This window comes from Homo sapiens, chromosome 12 (genome assembly GCF_000001405.40).
Source record: "Homo sapiens chromosome 12, GRCh38.p14 Primary Assembly".
Lineage (NCBI taxonomy): Eukaryota > Metazoa > Chordata > Mammalia > Primates > Hominidae > Homo > Homo sapiens.
This window is the reverse complement of record NC_000012.12, coordinates 54,134,460-54,156,372: the sequence shown is the minus strand read 5'-3', so window position 1 is coordinate 54,156,372 and position 21,913 is coordinate 54,134,460. Positions and strand designations below refer to the sequence as shown.

The window sequence follows — 21,913 nt, the reverse complement described above, 5'->3', positions numbered from 1 at the left end:
TGAGAATGGAGACTATCAGCCAGATGTAAATAGATGCATAGGTAGCCCCTTACAACACAGCAGGTGAGGAGGCTGGGGGGTGGTAACTAGATAAATGGCCAGGCCCATTTGATCTGTAGCCCATGTGATCTGGGCTACTTCCTTTGCCTCTTGCACCCTCTATTTATTGATATGAAAAATGGGATTGACGTTACAAGATTCCTTTGGACTTTAGGTAGGCAGAAGCTTAATTCACACACAGTACACAGAAGGACTTATTTGGAGAATTGTGTCTGGGGCCCCTCTCCCTTCTCATTTCTTCCCTAATGGTCTCTGCTCTGTTTCTTTTCCTCTTGATAATTGCCTGGGAGAACCTGTACTCACCTCCCTTCACATCAGCCCCAGTGGCTTGGTATCAGGCCTGAGTGCAGTCCCTGACTGGTAGTCTACGGGTGGGTCTGGGCTGCAGAATGCCTCAGTGAGCCTCCAGGCAGCTCCTCTGGTGGAGTCTCCTTTGCAAATGTTGTTGCTGCTTCAGGAACCACAGGATTTCCCACCACCCCAGATTCCCATATTCCTGACTCCTCTGCCTCCCACACATCCTGCCTTCTATCTGACCCTGACCTTGGGGGTCTCTCCCAGCCTGAGAAATGTCCCACTTGCCTCATTACCCTTCCCTGGGAATACTGAGGCTGGAATTGTCCGTGGAGGCCAGGAAAGTTCCTCAGAAATGTAAGGAAGGGGGTGGGGTCTTGAGTGAGGGGAGACCCCTATTCTACATTATGACCTCTGGCTCACCCCCACTTCCCAAGTCACCCTTGGGAGAGCACTGGATGCAGGCCTCAGAGTGTACCCCCAAACCCATGTCCCAGTCTCCATAAGGCCTTAGAGGTGGGAGATTTTCTTTGCAGGGAGCCGAAGGGGAACTGGTGTATGTTCAAGGTGCCCCAGGGTCCCAGCTTCCCAGCCCCTGCCCACTGTGTGATCTCCAAGGACCTTGCATCCAGCCTCAGGAAAGCCGCTCTGTTTACAGTGTGAGAGGTTTGTTCCCACTGATGCCACTCAGCCTAGAGCTCTGGAGGGAAGAGGGGAAGGACTGTGGGAAAATCGAGGGGGGAAACCACATGAACTTTGGAAGGAGGTGGAGTTGGTGACTTTTCCCCTCCTTGGAGCAGCTGGGAGGTCTAGCAAAATTTAGCCCTTTCTCCTAGGGAAGAAGGACCCCAGAAAACAAGTGAAGAAACCAAGTGGGGGAAATTGATGGCAGGGAAGGATCAGCAGTTTGCTGGGGGCGGTAGTTGGCGGGAGGGAAGAGCTAGAGAGATCCAAACCAGAGAGTACAAGTCAAGACTCATTGAGTGTGATTTGGCTGCAAATACACAGCATCTGGGTCATTGCAAGGGTGAGGGCCCTAGAGGCTGGGGCTGAGTCACATGTTTCATTTTTACCACTGAGACTGGCCTTTGCTTGCAGGAGGCCCAGAGAGGGAAAATATTTGGGCAAGGTCACACAGCACTTGCCTCAATCAGAGGCCGGCCTGGCTTTCTCTTGCTCTTATTTTTCAGCCACTCTTGACCTGACCTAAAAAATATATATATTCTCCAGTCTGTACAATCTCCCATGCTCCCTCTTCCCCCTAAATAGTTACGTGTGAACTTTGACCTGGGAATTCGCTTCGAGGGGAGCACTTTGGGAAAACATGATAAAGCCTCGTAAAGAACTCCAACAGCTTGCAAATAGCCTGTGCTAAATTGCCCCTTCAAGTGACAACTAAAGCAAATGTCTGTTTTATGGCCATGTTTTCTTGGGCTGCAACTATGGCAGGAGTGCAGGCAGCTCAGAACTGGGAAGCAGAGAGAAGGTGGAGGCACATCAGGTGTGGGATCCCTGGACAGGTAGAACAAGCTGCTCCGCAGAGGCCCTCTGGACCGTTCTTCTGCATCCCTGCCTCTTCCACCCCTTTTCTGTATAGAGAGGGTGTCAAGATAATCCTGTCCCCAGGAAGCCCTTCTTAAGGCCTCTCCTCTTCTCCCAGTGTGGCTTTGGAGAGTTCTTGGTCTTCTGGGGGCACCAGCCTCCTAGAGTGCCAGTGGTGGAAGCCCTGACATCACCCCGGCCAAGGTCTTGACCTGGGGTCTGTGACCTCCCAGGGTTTCTCTGACAGGCCTCTGAGGTTGTTGCTGGGGTAGAGGGGCTCTAGACCATCCCACCCCCTGCTCTTGCAGTTTTCTCCAGATCTAGTCCACTTTTGCATAGTGCGATTCTAAGTGAGGATTGTTTGAAAAGAAGTTCTAAGGCAATAATAATAATACAATAATAATAGTAATAATAATGATGATGACAAAAAAGGAAACTCCTGATCTACTCTAATCCCTTCACTGCACAATTGAAGAAACTAAGGCCCAGAGAGGACCTCTTGGGGGAAGACCCTTGGTTGGATGAAAGGAAGTCTGGGAAGAGAAGCTCTGATTCTGACCCAAGTCACTTCCCTTCTCTGGTCCTCAGCTTCCTCATGGGTAAAGCCAGATGAGCAGATTCCCTGAACTTCAAAGGTTCTTGTCAGGCCTGTGAACCCTAAGTAAATAAGTACGTAATAATGACAACAATAGCCCGTGTTTTTTGACCCCAGGGATGTGCCAGGTCCTAAGTGCTATGCATTTTCTTTTTTTTTTTGAGATGGAGTCTCACTCTGTCGCCCAGGCTGGAATGCAGTGGTGTGATCTCAGCTCACTGCAACCTCGGCCTCCTCGATTCAAGTGATTCTCCTGCCTCAGTCTCCCAAGTAGCAGGGATTGCAGGTATGTCCCACCATGCCTGGCTAATTTTTATATTTTTAGTAGAGACAGGATTTCATCATGTTGGCCAGACTGTTCTCAAACTCCTGGCCTCAAGTGATCCACCTGCCTTGGCCTCCCAAAGTGTTGGGATTACAGGCGTGAGCCACTGTGCTTGGCCGCTATGCATTTTCCATGGGCCATCCCATTTAAGACTCAATAACTTTATGAACTATCGTTATTCCCATGAGGAAACTAAGGCACAGAGAGGTTAAATAACTTGGCTGAGGTCCTTAAATGGCAAAGGCAGAATTTGAACCCTGGCAGTCCCTCTCCAGGGCTTGGGCCCTCAGTTACTACTCATGTAAGGGGACTGGGACCCAGCCCTGCTGACCTGTGAGCCAGTGCTCCTTCCACTGTACCAGGCCACCTGTCTAGCAAGGGCGGTGCTGGTCTCAGGCTCTCTGGAGGCTGCTGGGGTCTGCTGTACTCAGTGCTGGGAAGCCTAATGCTCAGTGCACACCTTGCAGAAGGGGCTTTGGGGCAGAACAGGATTTCTTTTTTTTTTTTTCAATGAGTTTCCTGAGCGTCAAAGAACAGGGCTTCTTGAAGGAGGCCTCAAAGGCTGAGAAGAGCTTCTATGGGACTCCAGGAAGCTGTGAAGATTCAGGGCAGCCATGATACAATAGTATATAAAATTCCCTCCCTGCCCCTCACCCAGTGGCCTGCCACCTAGGAAACCCTGCAACAGGCAGCCAGACTGGCCCAGCCTGCAAAACCTTTCAGTGACCACACACACACACACACACACACACACACACACACACACACACACACACACACACACACACACACAGTGTCCCTTCTAACTTCTAACCTGGCTATCCCAGCCTCTTCTCTGAAGCTTCACTGCTAGAACTTGAGATCTGGCTTCCTCCTCAGAAGACAATTTATGGCAACATGTCGAAGACTCTGTTTTAATGAAGTTGCAAAAGTAGGTTAATGGGCTGTGGGTGTTTTTCGTTCCCCTCCCCCTGCCCCATCTCCACCCCTGGGTGGATGAATGATGCCTCTCCCGGCAAGATGCAAAGTCAGGCTGAGGATCTCGGGCCTGGACTCAAGCTCACATCCCTTCCTTGGCCCTCTGCTCAGCTCCTCAGCACCACTGCTCTCTGCCACTGGGAAGGTGCTCAAAATGTCTAGCCCCAATCCCTCCTGCTGTAGCTGTGGTCCAGAAGGTGCTCCAGGGTCTGCCCAGAGGGGAGGAGCATGGCATATTTGAGTAGTGGGTCTGGGGCAAGGACTGAGGCAGGGGTGGGACTCTGAGGAAGAAGTAAAATGCTAGGGAATGGATTTCTTTTGGATTGGAGAGGCGGGGAGGTAGAAGCTCAGCTAGCATGGACCCAGAGAACTCTGAAGCTGGTGCTAGTATTCTGGATGAGGACTGAGTTTCTGGAAGCCTCTCCAGTTGCTGTCCCTGCCTGTGTAATTCATCTGTGTGTTTCCTGGTACCATGCTGATGTAGAGCTGCTCTCTCGATTGTTTGCTAAGTGAATGATGGATACAAGAGTGAATGACTCTTCTTTCCCTACGCCAAGTCTCTGGGGCTAAACTACCCTCATCCTTCCTCACCTCTGCACCTTCCCTCAGCTGTTGCTACTTGGAACCCTCTCCCTTCTCAGACTCTGCCCAATCCTGGCTCTACACTTCTGTCTCTTGGGGAGTTTTTCATGATTAAGCTGCAAGAAGAGTTCTCTATTCACTTGGGTCCAAGATTAGGGTCTGTCATCCCTGTAAGTTCAGGGTCCCCAGGGAGAAGGGTCTATGTCGTTTTCCTCCGGACTCTGCCCTGCCCCAGCAACACCCAGGGCAGGGCTCCAAGACTGAGGTGGGAGCTCTGGGCTCAGTTATTGTTGGGGACATACACCCAGGAGGACCATACTGCTGCCCAGGACCAGGCCTGGTCCTTCCTCCCTACAGAAAGCCCGGGGCTTGCACAGCATCTCGCCTGTCATCACTCCAGGGGAGCAAGCAGCCTTCTTCATTCCCAGACCCTCACTGCCAACAAAGGAGGCTGTTGGCCAGGGTTTGGGACTTGAATACCAAGATGGGGTAGAGCAGAGCCTTGCTGCTCTGCAACTTCAAATTATCCCCTCCTCTAGGAAGCTGGGTCACCTCCGTCCTTCCCCCTCCAAACTCCCTAGCTTTCTTTTACAGCCTTATCTCCCTCCCTTCCTCTGGGCCAGGTAGTAGCACAGGCCTGTGGCCTTTTGGAGTAACCCTATAAAAACCCCAGAGCAACCCTAGTGTGAAGCCCAGAAAACCCCACCATAATCTCCAGGGCAACTCCACAGTTGTACTCCAAACTCTATGACAGCATCCAAAATCTACAGTAACACCCCAAATCCCTATAGTCACATCCAGAACTACTCAGCCCAGGCAGTGCCACAGAGCCACCCCAAACATGGCACAAGAAGCTCAACACAGGCCCCTTCAGGAGCAGCTAAGCCTTCTAAGCTGATCTTCTAGCTGACCCAGAAAGGGGGGTCTTCCTGGAGACTCCAAAGCCCTCACTGGACCTTGCTCCCCACTGAGCTTTGATGTGGTAGAGGGAGGGGTGGGTGCCCAGGGCATGGACATGAAGGTTTCCCCTCACCTGAGGTGCTGAGGGAAGAAGTCTGGGGGAGGACAAGCCAGATTGTCCCTGGAGGGTCAGGGAAACCCAGAGGCAATGGTAGTCTCATACCTGAAATGGGAATCCGTGGGGCTTCTGTGGAAATTTCTGTGGATGAAGAGGAGACAGGACTCCCGGGTTCCCATGGTCACACGCACATGCTTTACAGATCTGTTTTGGGTCTGAGTCTTCAGGGGGCGTGGGAGGTGGTGTGGAGACAATGGGTATGGTGGGGGTTAGTAGTTGGCAGTTCAGAGGGAGGAGACGCAGGCCTGTTCCCCTAGTCCGATGAGAGAGAAGAGAGTCACACCAGGACCTGATTTAGGAATTGCTGGAGGGGCTTGTTGAGTGCAGGAAGAAACCAAGAAAAGGGGAGCCAAGGGTTTCAAATCAGGAGGGCTTCACGGAGGAGAAGAATAGGCAGGAGGTTGGAAAACAAGGGGCCAGGCGTGGTGGCTCATGCCTGTAATCCCAGCACTTTGGGAGGCTGAGGTGGGTGGATCACCTGAGGTCAGGAGTTCGAGACCAGCCTGACCAACATGGAGAAACCCTAAAATACTTGGAAGGGAGGCTCCCACCCTCTCTGCCCCTGCCCCTGGCAGCACCACCCCCAATTTGAGCAGGGCTTGGTCCCCAGAGCCTGGGGGTGGGTGTATCTACTGAAAATACAAAATTGGCCAGGCGTGGTGCACACCTGTAATCCCAGCTACTCAGGAGGCTGAGGCAGCAGGAGAATCGCTTGAACCCTGGAGGCAGAGGTTGCGGTGAGCCAAGATCGTGCCATTGCACTCCAGCCTGGGCAACAAGAGTGAAACTCCGTCTCAATAATAATAATAATAATAAAAAGAAGGGAGGAACAGAGCTGGGAAGGTCCCTGCCAGGGGTGGGGGCGGGGGCGCTCTGTGGCTTTCGAAGGGTTGAGGGCTGGTTTCAGGCCAGGCTGAGTTCAACCTGTGGAGTCACCAGACATTGGCATCTCTGGGTGTAAAATCCTGAGACGGGAAGAGGATGAATGTGGAATCAGGAGGCCGAGGGACCGCAGGCTCCACCCTTGGCTTTTGACCTCAGGTAATTCCCACACACTTCTAGTGTCATCGTTCTCCAGTCTGTAGAGAGGGAATAACAACATCCAGCATTCTTGAATTTTTAAAAAGCTTCTCTAGCAGGTGAGAAAACTACTTGGGAGAAAGCTATTTGGCCCACGATTTAGTAGATGTAAACGGTGCCAGCCCCTCTGTGGTGCATGAGATGTCAAGTTCTAAGTTCCCAGCTCTGCCACCAGACAGTCCTTTTTTCAGGCCTCAGTTTCCCCATCTGTAAAACAAGGGGAGTTGCACTTGTTCATTTCTTGGGGCCCCTCCTCCATCTGGTATCTGTTCAATAATTTTCAAGGTTCTTACAATGATAATAAATGCCAACAAGCTTTGTCCAAGTGTAAAGTGTGCTTCTGATGTGAGGGGCTGAAGGGCTCCCTGGATGCAGAGAAAGGTGCTTTGAGCTGGGCCGTGGCCCACAGTCTATCCTAGGCTTGGACCCCTGGAAGGAAAATGCAGAGAGCCCTGCTCAAGTTTATCCCACCCCCTTCCCAGAGCTGTGCCCATGCCAGCAATATTCTGCTCCCCCTTCCCAGCCAACCCCCAGGCTCTGGGGACCAAGCCCTGCTCAAATTGGGGGTGGGGCTCCCAGTGGCAGGGGCAGAGAGGGTGGGAGCCTCTCTTCCAAGTGGCTCCGAGCTGGAGCACAGCAATTACGCGGGAGGATTTATGTCCCTTTGCCTTTAATCGGAAACTCCATGTCAAGAAGAAAAATCTGCACTGTCCTCCGGCCCGGCTTCCTGCTTTATCATTATTATTGGAGGAAGGTTGATTTGGAAACTTAAAGAAAAGTGGGGTTGGGGGTGGGAGCCACTGGGGAAGGAGAGGTGTGGGGCACAAGGATGGCCTTCCTGCTGTTTGGTTTGTCACAAGAAGGGGACAAAGGGTAGGGCAGGGGCCGGGTCCTGGAGGGCAGGTGAGAAGAGACCAGAGGAACGCTAGGGGGAGGTTGGGGGCTGCAGGGTCACGAAAGGAAGGGGCACCCAGGAGCTGGGGGATGCTTGGAGGGAGGGAATGAGTGGGCAGACAGAGGGAACAGCTGGGGGTTGAAGGGACCTGGGGAGAGAAGAGAACCAGCAGCCAAGGTGGAGGGAAGGAGTAGCCAGGTACTGGAGGGACTATGGGTGGGCGAAGGGGTGTGGAACAGCCAGAGGAGCAGCCAGGCTCTCGGGGGATACTGTTGGGGAGGGAGAATGGGGGGTAAGCAGAGGGGATGTGGGGTGGGGGAAGAAGAGGGTGGGGCCTCATGGAGTGAAGAGGCATCAGGGACTGGCAGAGGGAGAGGGAGGGTAACCAGATGGGAGAGTCAGGGACTGGAGCTGGTGGGGGGTTGGACCAGGAACTCTGGGACTATCTCAGTCTAAATAGCCTGCTCCCACAAAGGCCTCTCCTCACCTGGCCCACCTGTATCTCCTAGTGTCCTGATTGGAGGGCTCTGGCCTCCCACAAAGCCCCAGGTTTTTGCCTTCCACCTTGGGAGCTGTTTCCTCCGGTGATCAGGTGTAGTGACTGGGAACAGGCTGAGGGGAACCACTTGACTCTCTTAGACAGACAGGTCTGCACTCTGGGGAGGCGAGACCAGGGACAGAAGGCCTCCTTCAGCCATCTTCCTGCCCTGTTTGGAAGTCCCCCCAGTGTCTTACCTGTTATCCCTTCTGTTGCCAGGATTTCATTCTGATGCTTTGGAGTCAGGCCTGGGTTGGAATTCTATCTCTGGCACTGACTACCTGAGAACACCTCTCTGAACCTCAGGGTTTTTGTCTGCAACATGATGACAGTAATACCTACGTGGCAGGTGTTGTCAGGATTAGAGATAATTAAGTAAAGTATCCAGCACATAGTATGCCTTCTATGCACTGTGCCCATCTGGAGGTAGCACCTGATATATGCAACCTCTCTACTTTACAAAGCATTGATAAATTATTTGTATCAATTTGTATCATTTGATTGTCATGACAACTTAATGAAGGAGCCTGGGTAGGTGTCATTATCCTCATGTTGGTGATGGAAACCATGGTACAGAGTGGCTGAGTGACTTGCCCAAGGCCACACAGCGCATGCCTGGAGCACCCGGGTAAGACAGACCCATAATACCACATGAGAGGCTTGAAGATCTTCCTCTGGGTCTTCTTCCTCCACCCTTGTCAGGCCCCACACCCAGCCACTGGTCCCTGGAATCTAGAGTTGAGTTTGGGGTGCTCAGCAGAGTGGCTCAGCTTCCAATCCTCCTGCAGCCCGGGCCATGCCCACCCTCATGCGCCTCCTCCCCGGCTTGACTAAGAGGTTTTATAGCCGTTTATGAGCAATTTCTGTCCATATATCATCGGAGATATATAGCCAGGCAAATATTAGGGACCCAAGCGGAGGTTTTAAGAGTGAGTTTTATTGCTGCTGAAAGAAGGTGTGATAGGCAGCATGCAGAGACCCACCTTCCCTCTTGCTCGGCGGCCGGGTGGTGGCAGCAGGGACTGGGCTTCAGCTGAGAAAAGCCATCTGTGAAGCTTGCGTGTTATGCCAGCACCCAGGGGTGCGTTGGCGGAGGGTGGTGATGGAAGGGTGGGGCTCTGTTCCTCAGAGAGCCATGCAAGTGGGTGTGGAGGGGTGAAAGGAGGCAAGAAGTCACAGGCTGGTGTGGCCAGCACAGCCTCTCCAAACCTGAGTGGGAAGACACTGAGTTCCAGTGGATTCAACACACAGAAGCGTGGATTGAAGTGAGACAGACTTGGGAAACAACTTCTCCCCAGGGGCCCCTGGGAGAGACTTTGGCAGTGCCTTTTGTTGGAAGTCTTTAAAAACTGGACCGGAACAAGGAGACCCCTGCCCAGAGTTGGTGAGCTGGACAACATGACCCCTACCCTCTTGAGCCACGGCCCCTGTTCTGCTGGAGAAAGCCCTGCAGAGGAGGTCATCCGTGGCCTCCTTTTGGGCTCTGTTCCAGGCCCCCGGCCCACGTGTCCCCTGCCCTCTGTGGGCTTCTGGGTATGGGTGAGTGGCAGAGGGGTAAGGAGAGCCTTCTTGGCTTGCGGCGTATGGAGAGAAGACGTCCCAGGGAATCCTCGCTCCTGATTTAAGCAGCTCCGACAGCTTTATGGTGCCTCCTCGAGTGAGCCCCCAGCGTTGGCTGTTTAACTTTTTAGCGTCGTTTAACGCTTAGACTCTGGTGGACAGGCAGGCCCCAAGGCCCCAGAGGCAGCGGCACTAAATCAGGACACTCTGAGGCCCCGATAAATAATTTTTACAGGGCACGCAGCCCATAGATCACCAGTGGGGGTGGGGGGAGAGTGGCTGTGATATTTCAACCAATTGTCATATGTGACTGCCCCGTGCTCTGACTCCAGGTCGCCCACATGGCAGCCGGCTTCATAACCACAGCCAGCTCTGGGGCTCTTCACTGTGGGGCATGGGAGAGGAGTAGGAGATGGGGCCTTTGATAACCCCAGCCAGCAGATGACCCGTTGCCTCCCCGGGAATGATGTTAAGGTCTGCTCAACTTGCTGTTGTCCATAGAGCATGGGTGCTCAATCCAAGCCTCCTCTGGCACTGGGAGAAGGGACAGCTGAAGGCACGAGGGCAGGGTGGCAGAGAGGAACACAAATAACTTTCTGTAGCCAAAAAGTCACTTTTCTGACCACCTTCCCTGTTCTGTTGACCACCTCCAAACTTGTGGTCTGTGTGAGAGAACAGTACAGAGGGAGGGAGGCATCAGACCTGACCCCAGGAGAGGAGGGCAGAGCTAAGGCTGACGTTCAGAGAAACTGGCAGCATCCCTCTACCATTTATACCTCTAGAGAAAGAGATGGAAAGTGTGGGAGTGTGGAAAGCGGGGGAATGTGGAAGGAGAGAGACAGAAACACAGAGAAGGCTAGGTAGTGAGAGGGACAGAAAAATGAAGATGAAAGACAGATGAAGATGTAGAGAGAACAAGAGACAGAGGCAAGAGGAGACAGACCAAAACGGACTCAGAAAGGACACTCCAACAGTTGGTTTGGTGTGGAGAAGGAGGCCTTTTCCTAAAGCTTGGTACCAAGCAAGAGGAACAGTGGTATCAACAGACCAAGGCAGGGGTTGCATCTGTGCCAGGCTGACCTGCCCCATGCCCTCTGAGGGTGCCCTTCCCCTGGCTTCAGGACCGTGTTTCCCTGCACCAGCTCCACGCTGCTTCCCCACTCTCTCCCCTCCCCTCAGTGCCCTTGCCCCATCCCCTCATCTGTAAGATCTGGGATTTGCGGGGACACTTAATCCATATGGAGCTGATTCATTCCCATCTAAATCATCTCCATGAGCTTCCCTAAGAGCCCTCTGATGTGCCAGCCACCATTCCTCTCCCCTGGGCGATGGCGGGCTGGGGGCTGCCAGTAAACAAACCTCAGCTGCCATCCATCCATCTTGGCCTCGCCCATCAGTCCAGCCAAGACCATTCATCTCTCCAGCACTGCTCCCTGCACTCCTCCATCCCTCCATCCATCTGTCTGTCCCTCCTTCTCATGCCCCTCTACTGGAAACTTTACCTCTCTGCCTTTTCCTGGGTAGCATCTTGAGGGGTCATCTCAACCATCCCCCTGCCTTCAGACAGGAGCCTTATTTTACCCCTGGCCCAGCAAGGCGGGGGCTCTCCCAGTTCATCACCTTCCGAGAATGAGGGCTTCGAGTCTGATGATTTTACTCTACAGTACTGACAACCTAGGGAAGTTCTTTCTTCTGTCTAGCTTGTGTGCTTGACATTCACATATGACCACACGTCTGAATGGGAGTGGGTATAAGATTATAGGATTATACTCAAGCATGAGAGTCTCCAGTATTTGTAATATGTACCTCTCTGGCTTAACATGGTATGTAGAGCTCAAGACCAGTGAAATGGGCCTTTCCTCCAGTCTCCCCCAGCAGAGTCTGGCCCAGTGCCAAGCACGCAGTGGGCGTTCGGTGTTGATTGCTTTCTGGCCATCTTCTTATTTGCCAGTGCCAATGAGTCCAGTGGTCTCACATACATCCTGGGGGGGGTTTTGGTGGGATGACTCTGTGGATCTGATACAGGGCAGATTATGGCACCTCTAGCCTGGCAGGGTTTGCAGTAAACACTAAGGAAATGTCTCTTACCTCTATTCTCCCACTCAAATTTCTTTTTTTTTTTTTTTTTTTTTGAGACAGAGTCTCGATCTGTCGCCCAGGCTGGAGTGCAGTGGTGCGATCTCGATTCACTGCAACCTCCACCTCCAGGGTTCACTCCATTCTCCTGCCTCAGCCTCCCGAGTAGCTGGGACTACAGGCGCTCACCACAACGCCCGGCTTATTTTTTGTATTTTTGGTAAAGATGGGGTTTCACCATGTTAGCCAGGATGGTCTCGATCTCCTGACCTCGTGATCCACCCTCCTCGGCCTCCCAAAGTGCTGGGATTACAGGCGTGAGCCACCACGCCCGGCCTATCCCACCCAAATTTCTTAACGCAGGCCTGGGGTAGAGCTTGCCTCAACAACTCGCTCTCGGTAATTGTGGGGCTGAAGAGAGGGAGGACGAACAGGAGGGGCAGCAGGTGCTGGTGGGGCCTTCCATGGCACTGAAGCAGAACCCTCGCATTTGGGGGAAACCCTTATGTTTACCTGCACTAATCAGGAGAGTGCATGGAGGGCGCCGCTGTCCCCTGCCCCAGCCTTAGCATTATGGCCCTTCCCTTTTCAGCCTCTTCACCTCATCCTGGGAGGGGTGACTCTGAGAAAGGGGCTTCTGCAAGTCCCTAAGGAGAGAAGACGGGAGCAGGTCTTTGGGTCCCACCTCAGCGTCTCCATGCGCAGCACCACTGGAAGTTGGGGAACAGGGAACAGGTCTGTCTGTCTGTCTCTGGTCAGTAGAGAATTTTGGTCAGGCTCTAGTAACCCTGCAGAGGGATAAAGTGGGTATGGGGGGTGGAGGTGGAGTTACAGGGAGAGATGAGGGCAGTACTTGTGACAGGTGTGTCCTTCCCTGGATCCAGTCATGAAGAGTGGGAGGGAGAGAGGAGAGGGAGGGGAAACATGAACTTTCACGTGCCCTGAGAGAGCTGGTGTTTCACCACTGCCAGCCGCTCCCCGAGACCTGGGATGCCTTGTTGAGCATCTGCCCTGCTCCCAGACCAGACTAGACCAGGCAGGGAATCCCGATGCATGCTTCTCCCCTGTCCCCACACTAACTCCCACTCCCTTTCCCCTTGTTGCTGGTCCCCTGCATGGAGTCACTGTGAGTACACAGGATAGGTGAGGCTCTACAGCTGTTATTGAGTTGTGAGGATCCTTGACCTTGTCCCTCTCACTCCCCTACAGGGAGAGGAGGCTCTAATTGTAGTCAGAAAGATAAGAAGGGTGTCTTGGAGAGGAGAGGGGCTGGGGGGGCCGTGGGGAAGCTAACCACTTGCCCCAGTCGTGTGAAGGTAAGTGTGGGAGGGGAGGGGCCTGCAGGTAGCAAGGCCCAACTTAAGAATGATGAGGTGCTTCTTAGTTCTCTGAGCTATAGACATGTGAAGTATGTAAGACCATGCGAAAGGATAAATTATCACCTAAGGAGGAGAGGACATGGGGGAATAAGAAAAAATTCAAGCCAGGGAGACCCAATGCTACCACCCCCATCACCATCATGACCTGATCCATCTGTGCTGGACTGGATTAAAGTCCATAGGGAGGGGGAGGCCTGAGAACTGGCCCTGAGGTCTTCAGAGGAAAAGCTGATCCCCCACCGTGCATTTGCTTGATGTTACACAGAGCAAGGGGGAGCTGGGAACAGCTGCTCAAATTCTTCAGGTGGGGCAGCCACGGGGAGCTCCCCATCCTCCTTCTTCCTTCCTTGCACCCACCTCTCTCCAACCCCTCCTTCTACCTAGTCCGCTGAGGAACAGTGCCCTCTTCTCCCATTGGCCCGCCTCTCGTGGTTGTCCCCAGCCTCTTGGGCTAGGCCCTCCTCACCCACTCAGTGGCTCCTAACCTCTCTTGTCTCCTCTGAAACTCCTCTTCCTGCAAGAAGCATCCCAGGCTGCTTCTCCCCTCCCCCCAAAAAAAGCCCACTTACCCAGACTTGCAGCTGATGAAAATCCTTTAGGATCCACTCGTGGGCTGCTGCCTTGGGTCCTGCAGGGTCTGGAGATTCCTTTGTTTGTCTGTCCTCTATTGCTCAACATCCACATGTCCAATTTAGGCTGGGATTCCCACAATACAAGTGAGGAGCCAAGTCTTTTTTTTTTTTTTTTGAGATGGAGTCTCGCTCTGTTGCCCAGGCTGGAGTGCAGTTGTGTGATCTCTGCTCACCGCAAGCTCTGCCTCCCCGGGTTCACGCCATTCTCCTGCCACAGCCTCCCGAGTAGCTGGGACTACAGGCGTCTGCCAGGATGCCCAGTTAATTTTTTGTATTTTTATTAGAGATGGGGTTTCATCGTGTTAGCCAGGATGGTCTCGATCTTCTGCTCTCGTGATTCCCGCAAAGTGCTGGGATTACAAGCGTGAGCCACTGTGCCTGGCCGAGCCTGGGGTTTTAAAATCTATTTGACAGCCCTTCTTCTGACATCATGAGGCAGAAATGTCTTGAGGAATGCTGGGAGGTCTTAGACGACCAATGAGCGGGACTGGTACACTTTCCCCCAGGGAAGCCACCTCATGCTACAGCAAGTAGTGACAGAGGCTAGACAATGGGAAGAACTGTAATCTCTTAAAATTGAAGGAAAGATTTCCAGGGTTTCACTGAAGACCTTGAGGAGGAATGACTTTAATCTTTTCAAGCTCTGAGGGAGCAGAGAGGCCTGGGAGTCTGGAAAAGTTTCTGTCCACTCTTGCAGAACTGACTCAAAGAGGGACGGCCACTTTCTTTTTCAAGAGCCCTGACTCATCCACGTTCAGTCCAATTCCACTCACAATTTCTTAGATAATTGTTTCTTTCTTAGACAGAAATTTGGTTCTGGAATTCCCTGTCCTATTCCTCCCATGACCTGGGAACCATCTTTAGGAACCAACTTCAGCTTATGGTGCCAGAAAAACAGAGATGTAGAGACATTTTTGGACAGTCACACAGCAAACCATCAAGGAGCTGGGAATGCCCCCTTATGGATCCTCTTCTCTTCTCTGGATGTGAAGGGAAAGGATATGATCCTAGGGGGAAGGGTGGGGTTAGTGAGAGCTGGAAGAGCACCCCCGCCCAGCAGGCCCAGATCCAAATGTGCACATGATGGAAATGCCTTTATAGCCAAGGGCCCCTCCCTCCCAAAAATAAAATCCCACAATTGGGGAACATCTGGATCAAACCACAGCCATGAAAGCGCAACATCAAACGAGGGTTTCTGAGCGACCCTCCCCGCAGGCCCTGGTCCAAGAGAAATTGCAGAACTTCCTGCTTGAAGCTTTTAAGTGTCACAGAACCCCTCAAATTTGGGATTGCCCCCTATTTGCTGGAGACAGATGTCCCCGAGTGTGGTTGGGCCTGATTGCCCCCAGCGGGATAGAGTGTGTGTGACCTGATCTTACCCCCAGCTAATCCAGGCAGGAAAGCTGTGATGAGGGGCTCCAGCCTTTCAGGCTGGGGGCTGGGGAGAGAGGGGACAGGTGGGCCTTCTGAAACGTGCCTACATCAAAGGTTTGAGTACCCTCCCTTCCAAGCTTTGGCGCCTCCGGCGGGGAGGAAAGCAGTGATTTCACCACATAACTGCACGTAGGGCGGATCTCAGTCTGAGAACTTCTGGGGAATGTGGAGAGGGGAGGGACGGTGCTTCCCAGAGGGGAGGAAAGGGCAAGGAGGGTTCTCGCTTCCAAAATAGCCTACCCAGGCCAAGGAAAACGGGGCCATATGCAGCCTCCCTCCTGCTCTGGCCTCTGTGGAGGGAAAGCTGAGGGGAGGGTGCATTCTTCCAAGGGGGGAGGAGGAGCAGCTATAGCAGGAGGAGGGCAGGAGCCAGATCACAGATGGAGAGCGGTGGGGAACAGGGGCATCTTCCACACACAGGGGCATGAAAGAGGAAGGCTGTAGGGTATGTGAATTCCAGGAGACAGTAGGCGCTCCCCTCCCTGTTCCCCAGGCTCTGTCCTGTCTCAGGAATCATAGAGTGTCTGGTCATGATGCTGGCAGGGTGGGATCGACTGTGGGGCACATGGGTTAGGGAGGCACCCCATATCTGGCTGGAATCCCAGTTCAGATTTGGATCATTTGAGGATGAGTGAGAGTCGGTTGGGGTGTTGACACCCCACTGTAACCTTAGTTTAAGAAGCTAAGGATTTATTGTTGGGGTGGAAGGTCACCTTCAGTTGGGAGGAGTGTAGGGAGAAAAAAGGGGCACCATTTGCATATAATTTTGCTTATAGTTTCCATACTCCTCCCCTTCAGGGAGACTTCCATGACCCTTTCCTTTCCCTTCCCAGGGAGGTTTAGGTGTGTGCATGGTGCTCCCCCGGTGCCCTAGGTGTACCTATAGTCTTGGTTCTTTTCACCTTGCTTTGTAAAGATCCGTGGTTTCTTTCCCCATCCAGACTGTCGGTGCCTTGATGACATGGACCTCCTTGTTCTTCTCTGTGTTCCTAGTTCCCAGCACAGTGCCTGGCAGCGAGCAGGTGCTCGGTGATGCTACCCTGCTGCTGCTGGAGCCCATTCCTCCCATGACCAATGTTCTGGGGGAAACAAAGGACAACCCGTAGGATGGTTCTTTAGCAGCCTGGAGGCCTCTGATGGGCTCTCAGCCTTTCTAAAACTGCAAGGATAGCTCCTATCTGACCGCCTCTGGGAGTCTCCTGGGAGGACCCTCAGTGACAGCACTTTCTTCTGCCCCTGAAACTTATTGCCCATAAGGCTCACCTTCATGGTCAGATATTTATTTATTAGAGACAGGGTCTTGCTTGCTCTGTCGCCCAGGCTGGAGTGCAGTGGTACAATCACAGCTCACTGCAACCTCTAGTGGGCTCAAGTGATCCTCCTGCCTCAGCCTCCCGTAGCTAGGACTACAGGCACTCACCATCACACTCAGCTAATTCTTTTTTCTTTTTGTTGAGACTGACTCTTGCTCTGTCACCCAGGCTGGGGTGCAGTGGCATGGTCTCGGCTCACTGCAACCTCTGCCTCCTGGGTTCAAGCGATTCTCCTGCCTCAGCCTCCCGAGTAGCTGGGACTAGGATTACAGGTGCCCACCACCATGCCTGGCTAATTTTTGTATTTTTAGTAGAGATGAGGTTTCACCATTTTGGTCAGGCTAGTCTCAAACTCCTGACCTCAAGTGATCCACCCACCTCAGCCTCCCAAAGTGCTGGGATTACATGCATGAGCTACCACACCCCACTAATTTTTAAAATTTCTTTTGTAGAAACAGGGTCTCGCTGCGTTGCCAAGGTTAGTCTCAAACTTTTGGCCTCAAGAGAGCCTCCTACTTTGGCCTCCCAAAGTACTGGGATTGCAGGTATAAGCCACCAGGCATGGCCCCTATTCTTATTTTTAAATCTGGGATGGATGTATCTCTTTTTTGTCACATGAGACCAAATGCTCTTTGGGGCCAGACTACCCATACTGTTTCTATGGCCCACAGTGCCTAGCATGAAGGAAGACTTCAGTCAAGACAGGTTGGCTGTGGACCAGCTGACCCTCTCTGTGAGTGCTGGTGCCTCCACGTGGTAGCTTTGTCTGGGGCTCTGAGGGCTGAGCTTCCATGAGCTGTTGAGTCAGGGATGTTCTGACATAAGGGGGTGAGTAGGACACATTAGAAGCTCCTGTCCTGGTGACACACGGCCTGAAGGGCCCTGTCAGCTGAGAGAATCAGTGCTCAAGGGGAATGTTGTGGAGATTACAGCGGTCAGAGGGTTTTATTCAGAGTCTCTGGGAGAGGAAAATAAGAAAGGACATGAGAGAAGGGGAAGGAAGGGCTAGGCAGAGGATGAAGGGGGATGTGCATGTGGGATAAACTTGACAGAGGGTGAGCAGGCAAAACAGCTTTGCCTGCTAGGGAAGACCCAAGTGTGAGCCTGGCAGGCCTTGTGTCTAGGAGGGACCTGGGCGATTGTAAACAATATACTATGCTCTGAAGATTGTACCCACCCCTCCAGTCCCCACTCCTATCCCTTCCCAAGATGGGGTCTTTGGTCTCACTGTGATTTCTAGGCCTAGCCTGAACTGTGCTGGGGTGACACCACCCAACACCAAGCTCAGATCAAACCAGCTTTGCTTCATACCCTTGGGGGCCTCCCTGAGGCTGGAGGGGACTTTGAAGTTGATGGAGAGAAGATTGGTGAGCTGTGTGCTAAGCAGGGATCTCTCAGCAGTCAATGAGGTGGAGAGGATCTCCACTCCCTTTTTTGGGGGGCTGAGATATTGATACCCTAGTTTTCAAAACCTAGGTTTTTCATCCTTGAATGCTGCCTAAGGCTGACTTGATCACCAGGTATCTCTGGGTGGTAGGGTGTGGCAGCATTGCTGAGCTCCAGAGAGCGCCATTCACTGAATTCCTGGAGCACAACTCTAGGTGGTGCCATTCACATAGAATTCAATGTGTAAGATGCCCCCCTCTCCCCTGAGGAGCTGTGCAACTATGGGTCACCATGATGCCCTTTTTGGGTCAGGGTTCTGTTTAGAAGCCCAAGCTGGCCAACATGAGAACTAGCAATATTCAAGTGAGACTTTGCCCAGAGACAGAGAGAGATGGACAAAATGATTTCCGAAGTTAAGTCTTCATGAAAGTGGTATCAGGAATGGAAGCTGTCTCCCAGAGTAACAGGACCATGGAGCAGTGCGTGGTCTTGGGCTAGATTAGAAATGACAAAAGTCCATCATCAGGGAAGGAAAACAGTCTTAAAATCCCTGGATTGGAAAGGATAACCCATATGTAAGCACCTAGTGGGGCCTGGCATTTAATAGGTAGGCAATTAATGCGAGGTGAGGCAGTAGCTCATGCCTATAATCCCAATACTTTGGGAGGCTGAGGTGGGAGGATTGCTTGAGGCCAGGAGTTTGAGACCAGCCTGGACAACATAGGGAGACCCCATCTCTACAAAAAATAAAAAATAAATTAGCCAGGCATGATGGTGTGTGCCTGTAGTCCCAGCTACTTGGGAGGCTGAGGTGGAGGATTACTTGAGCCCAGGAGGTCAAGGCTGAAGTGAGCCATGATCGTGCTACTGCACTCCAGCCTGGGTGGCAGAGCAAGACCCTGCCTCAAAGAAAACTCCCCCAAACGAACGAACAAACAAACAACCAACGATAACAACGAGGTGAAACAGAAGCAGAGTCTACACTCCAGTCTCTAGGTTTGCGGATCTTAGAGGCAGAATGGCCTAGCCACGATGGCTACACTTGCGCATGGGAACTCGCTGAAATCAGAAATGGGAACCCGACCTAGATAGAGGTCAGGAATTTGTTTTCTTCTTTTTTCTCCTTCTTAGGGAAAGCTTAGTCCGTTGTTTAGGATGAAAAATAACAACCAGATGAACGAAAGAAGGATCATCAGGAATGATGAGTAATGTGCTCCAGATGTGGCTATGGAGAACTGGTTCTGACGGGCACCGCTGCCTGCGAGTAGCCACCTTGTGGGGAGACCCCCTTATTTCAACAAGGGTGCAGTGACACAATTTTTTGCAGCCTTCTTTTGGAATTGTCTTCAGGGTGTGTGACTCAGTTTTTTGATCGTCCTTATTGGTGGTAAATCTTTATGCTTTGCTTTTTTGGAATCAGTCAGCCGCTGCGCCCCCCCCCCCACAAAAAAATCAGTTAATAATGGTTGCCTTGAATTCTTTGTAACTGGCTCTGAAGTCAGTTTTAAAAGGAAGCTGCAGGTATGTTGTAATCAATAGAGGCACATAAGGAATGAGTGTATGTTCCCTGCAGGTGACTGTTTTGAAGGGCAACCCTTGTTTGTTCTGCCATGTTTGTTTAAAGAAGCCAATCACAGATATAGAGTTCATATTGCATTCTGTATAATAAAATAATGTAATATGATGTTGAAGGCAGTATGCTAACTACCTCCTCCCGCTGTTATTATGAATTAATACCTCTGATGATGTATAATGCATTTGTTTTTGCCAAGAAAGGGAGGGAATAGAGGCATGGAGCCTGTGTCTACACAGGCAGACCCAAGTGAAGAAATGGTTCAGTGATTCAGGGAGAAGGTTTGGGCATCCATCTGCCCATGAGAGTTGCCTAACTCTGCACTCCTTTCTGGACTAGCTCTGTGTTCATTCTTCCAGAGGATTTGGTCAACTGGGCAGGGTGCACAGCCCTCTTTTAGAGGGGAGATTAATTTCTTAGCTTGGTTCTCTGTCATTCACCTGCAAAAATCAGCACTAAGATCTAAGAGAGGGAATCATAAATCAGTTCATAAATTATACTTTTCACAAAAGTGGAAGAGGTGAGGTCAAAATGAACCTACATAGCAAACTTGTTCATACAGTTATTAGTTAACCTAAATGAAGAACTCTTTGGTTGAGGAAGTTTCCAGAACTTTCCTTTCCCGAGGAAAGACCAGGAAGAAATGGGTAAGCATCAGATCAGGGAGACTGAGGGTCCCCGCTTTCTCTCCTTTTGGGGAAACCCTGACTGTGGGCTTGTGTAGGATTTTGGGTGTGATGGCTGGGTTGGGGCAGAGAGAGGGTGGAATGACCTCCAGGAGGCCTAGCCAGTGGAACGCTCAGTGCTCCTTTGCTGATAGACCAAGCTGCAAATCAGGAATTTATTAGGAGCTGAGACTCATTTTCCCACCCTTTATAGCCCTGACGACTCAGAGCCAAACTCTGGCAAGGGGCTTCCTCATGGTTTTAATTAGACAATTAATTTTTTATTGCATCGTTTGATTTCCAGAGCCGGTTCCACTCTCCCTCTTGTCCCCCACCTGCCTCCCAGCTGTGAACAGGAAAGGAGAGATGGGGATTCAGGAAGGGCACAGAGAAAAACCTGTCTGCCTTTGAGCTGATTTAGGAGTGGCGGGGAGGGGGCGGGAATCCTCTGCCACCCCAGCTTGTCTAGCACCAGAGACACTGTCCAGAGCCCAGACCTGTGCTTTCAGAGCCTGCACAAAGGCATTCTGAGCTGCTCCTCCCAAGCTTCTCCCTGCTGCTGGGCTAATTAGTAACACAGGGTGGGGGTAGGGGCAGGGAGCAGTGCCCCGAAATACATTAGCGGCATTTCTGTGGTTAATCCTGGCCGTGCTTAGAGGCTGTTTACCCTCTACCCAGGGATTAGGAACCTGTTTGAGTTAGAAGGGCAGGGAGAGGCCAGTGCTTGGCTCTGTCCTCCACCTGCTTTCAGGAGCTGGGGCGGGGGTGCTGAGCCAGCGAGGGGTGGGGAAGTAGTGAGAGAAACCTGTCTCCAATCTGTCTCCCCTTATTGATCTCCTGCCTTCCAGCAGCTTGGCCTGCTTTTGAATCTTTATCCTTCCCCCAGCCACCCGCCCCAAGTTTCACCCCTCGCCACTGCCCTTGTCAAATATCACCCTGGCTTGGAAAGGTGGAGAAGAAGGGAAGAGTGAGGGGATGAAGTGTTTAAGCTGTGGGGATGAGCCTGGCTGTGGAAGGGCTCCCTATATGTCACGTATGTTCTCTTGGAGGAGTAGGGAGCCCCCTCTCGAGATTTCTGACTATGCTCATATTCCGCCCTGAAAGAAGAAGAGAAGGCTAGACTCTAGGAAGAACTTACTTTCAGTAGCAGAAACAGGTAGCTCCTTCTTTAAGGTTTTATGATATGCCAAGTCCAATATTTCACTGACAACAACATTGCTCAGAGGCCTTAAAATGGAATGGAGAGGGCTGTTTCCTCAGGTGTCCTGTTGGTGGGGACATTGTCACTCGTTGTTTCAGCACAAGGGCTCTTTCTGGAAGTGTGTGTTCATGCACACATACACACTCACCCACATACACATCAGGGGCACTGGCGCACTTGTGCAGGCATGCACGCCACCAGGCACGACCCATCAGTATGTCAAGACTCCAGGTTATCCACGAAAGGTGTGCACGTGCTCACACACACACCCCGACAAAGCCAAACTGAATCCCAGAACCAAGTTGACAAGCATCTGCAGACACAGAAGTGGCTCTGAGGAGCCTCCAGGGCCCTTACAGGTAAAGCAAGCCCTCCAAAAGAATAGACCGGGATGCCATTCAAGCAGAGGGGCTCTGGCAACCTCCTTGCTCCTCACATTCCCCTCTGGGGTCAAAGCAATATCAGCATTGGTGAATATGTGCCTCCCACCTGCCATTGTGGGTCTAGAAGGGCATAAATTTCTCACGGGGTCCAGGACTGCAAGAAAAAGTAGGACGTATTTATATTGGACTGTGAGGGACACAAAGATAAAAGGACCCAAACATCAAAGGGCCCCCCAGAAGCTCAGTGTGCAGACCTCTGGATCTAGGACTTGTTCTGTAAACAGGGTTTCTTCTCCTTCTGGGAAAGCTCATGTTGAGCAATCCCTCTGCTGGGGCTTGAGGTA

General features: G+C 52.0%; 1 long non-coding RNA gene across 2 annotated transcripts, besides 1 other annotated feature; it reads right to left on the bottom strand.

The window, feature by feature from the left end:
- Window positions 3,717-13,771, bottom strand: SMUG1-AS1 (SMUG1 antisense RNA 1). Of its 2 annotated transcripts, none has more exons than XR_007063321.1 (2): window positions 13,552-13,771; window positions 3,717-6,963 (listed from the first exon to the last, which is right to left on the bottom strand). It is a non-coding gene; the product is annotated as an SMUG1 antisense RNA 1 (long non-coding RNA). The 2 variants fall into 2 exon arrangements; XR_007063322.1 differs by having other exon boundaries at window positions 3,717-6,741.
- Window positions 21,333-21,501: a silencer, noted in NCBI's record as "fragment chr12:54528656-54528824 (GRCh37/hg19 assembly coordinates)". NCBI's record gives its function as "represses an EF-1alpha promoter that drives an FKBP-Casp9 reporter gene in an ReSE screen in HepG2 liver carcinoma cells {active_cell/tissue: HepG2}" and the evidence as "EXISTENCE:reporter gene assay evidence [ECO:0000049][PMID:32094911]".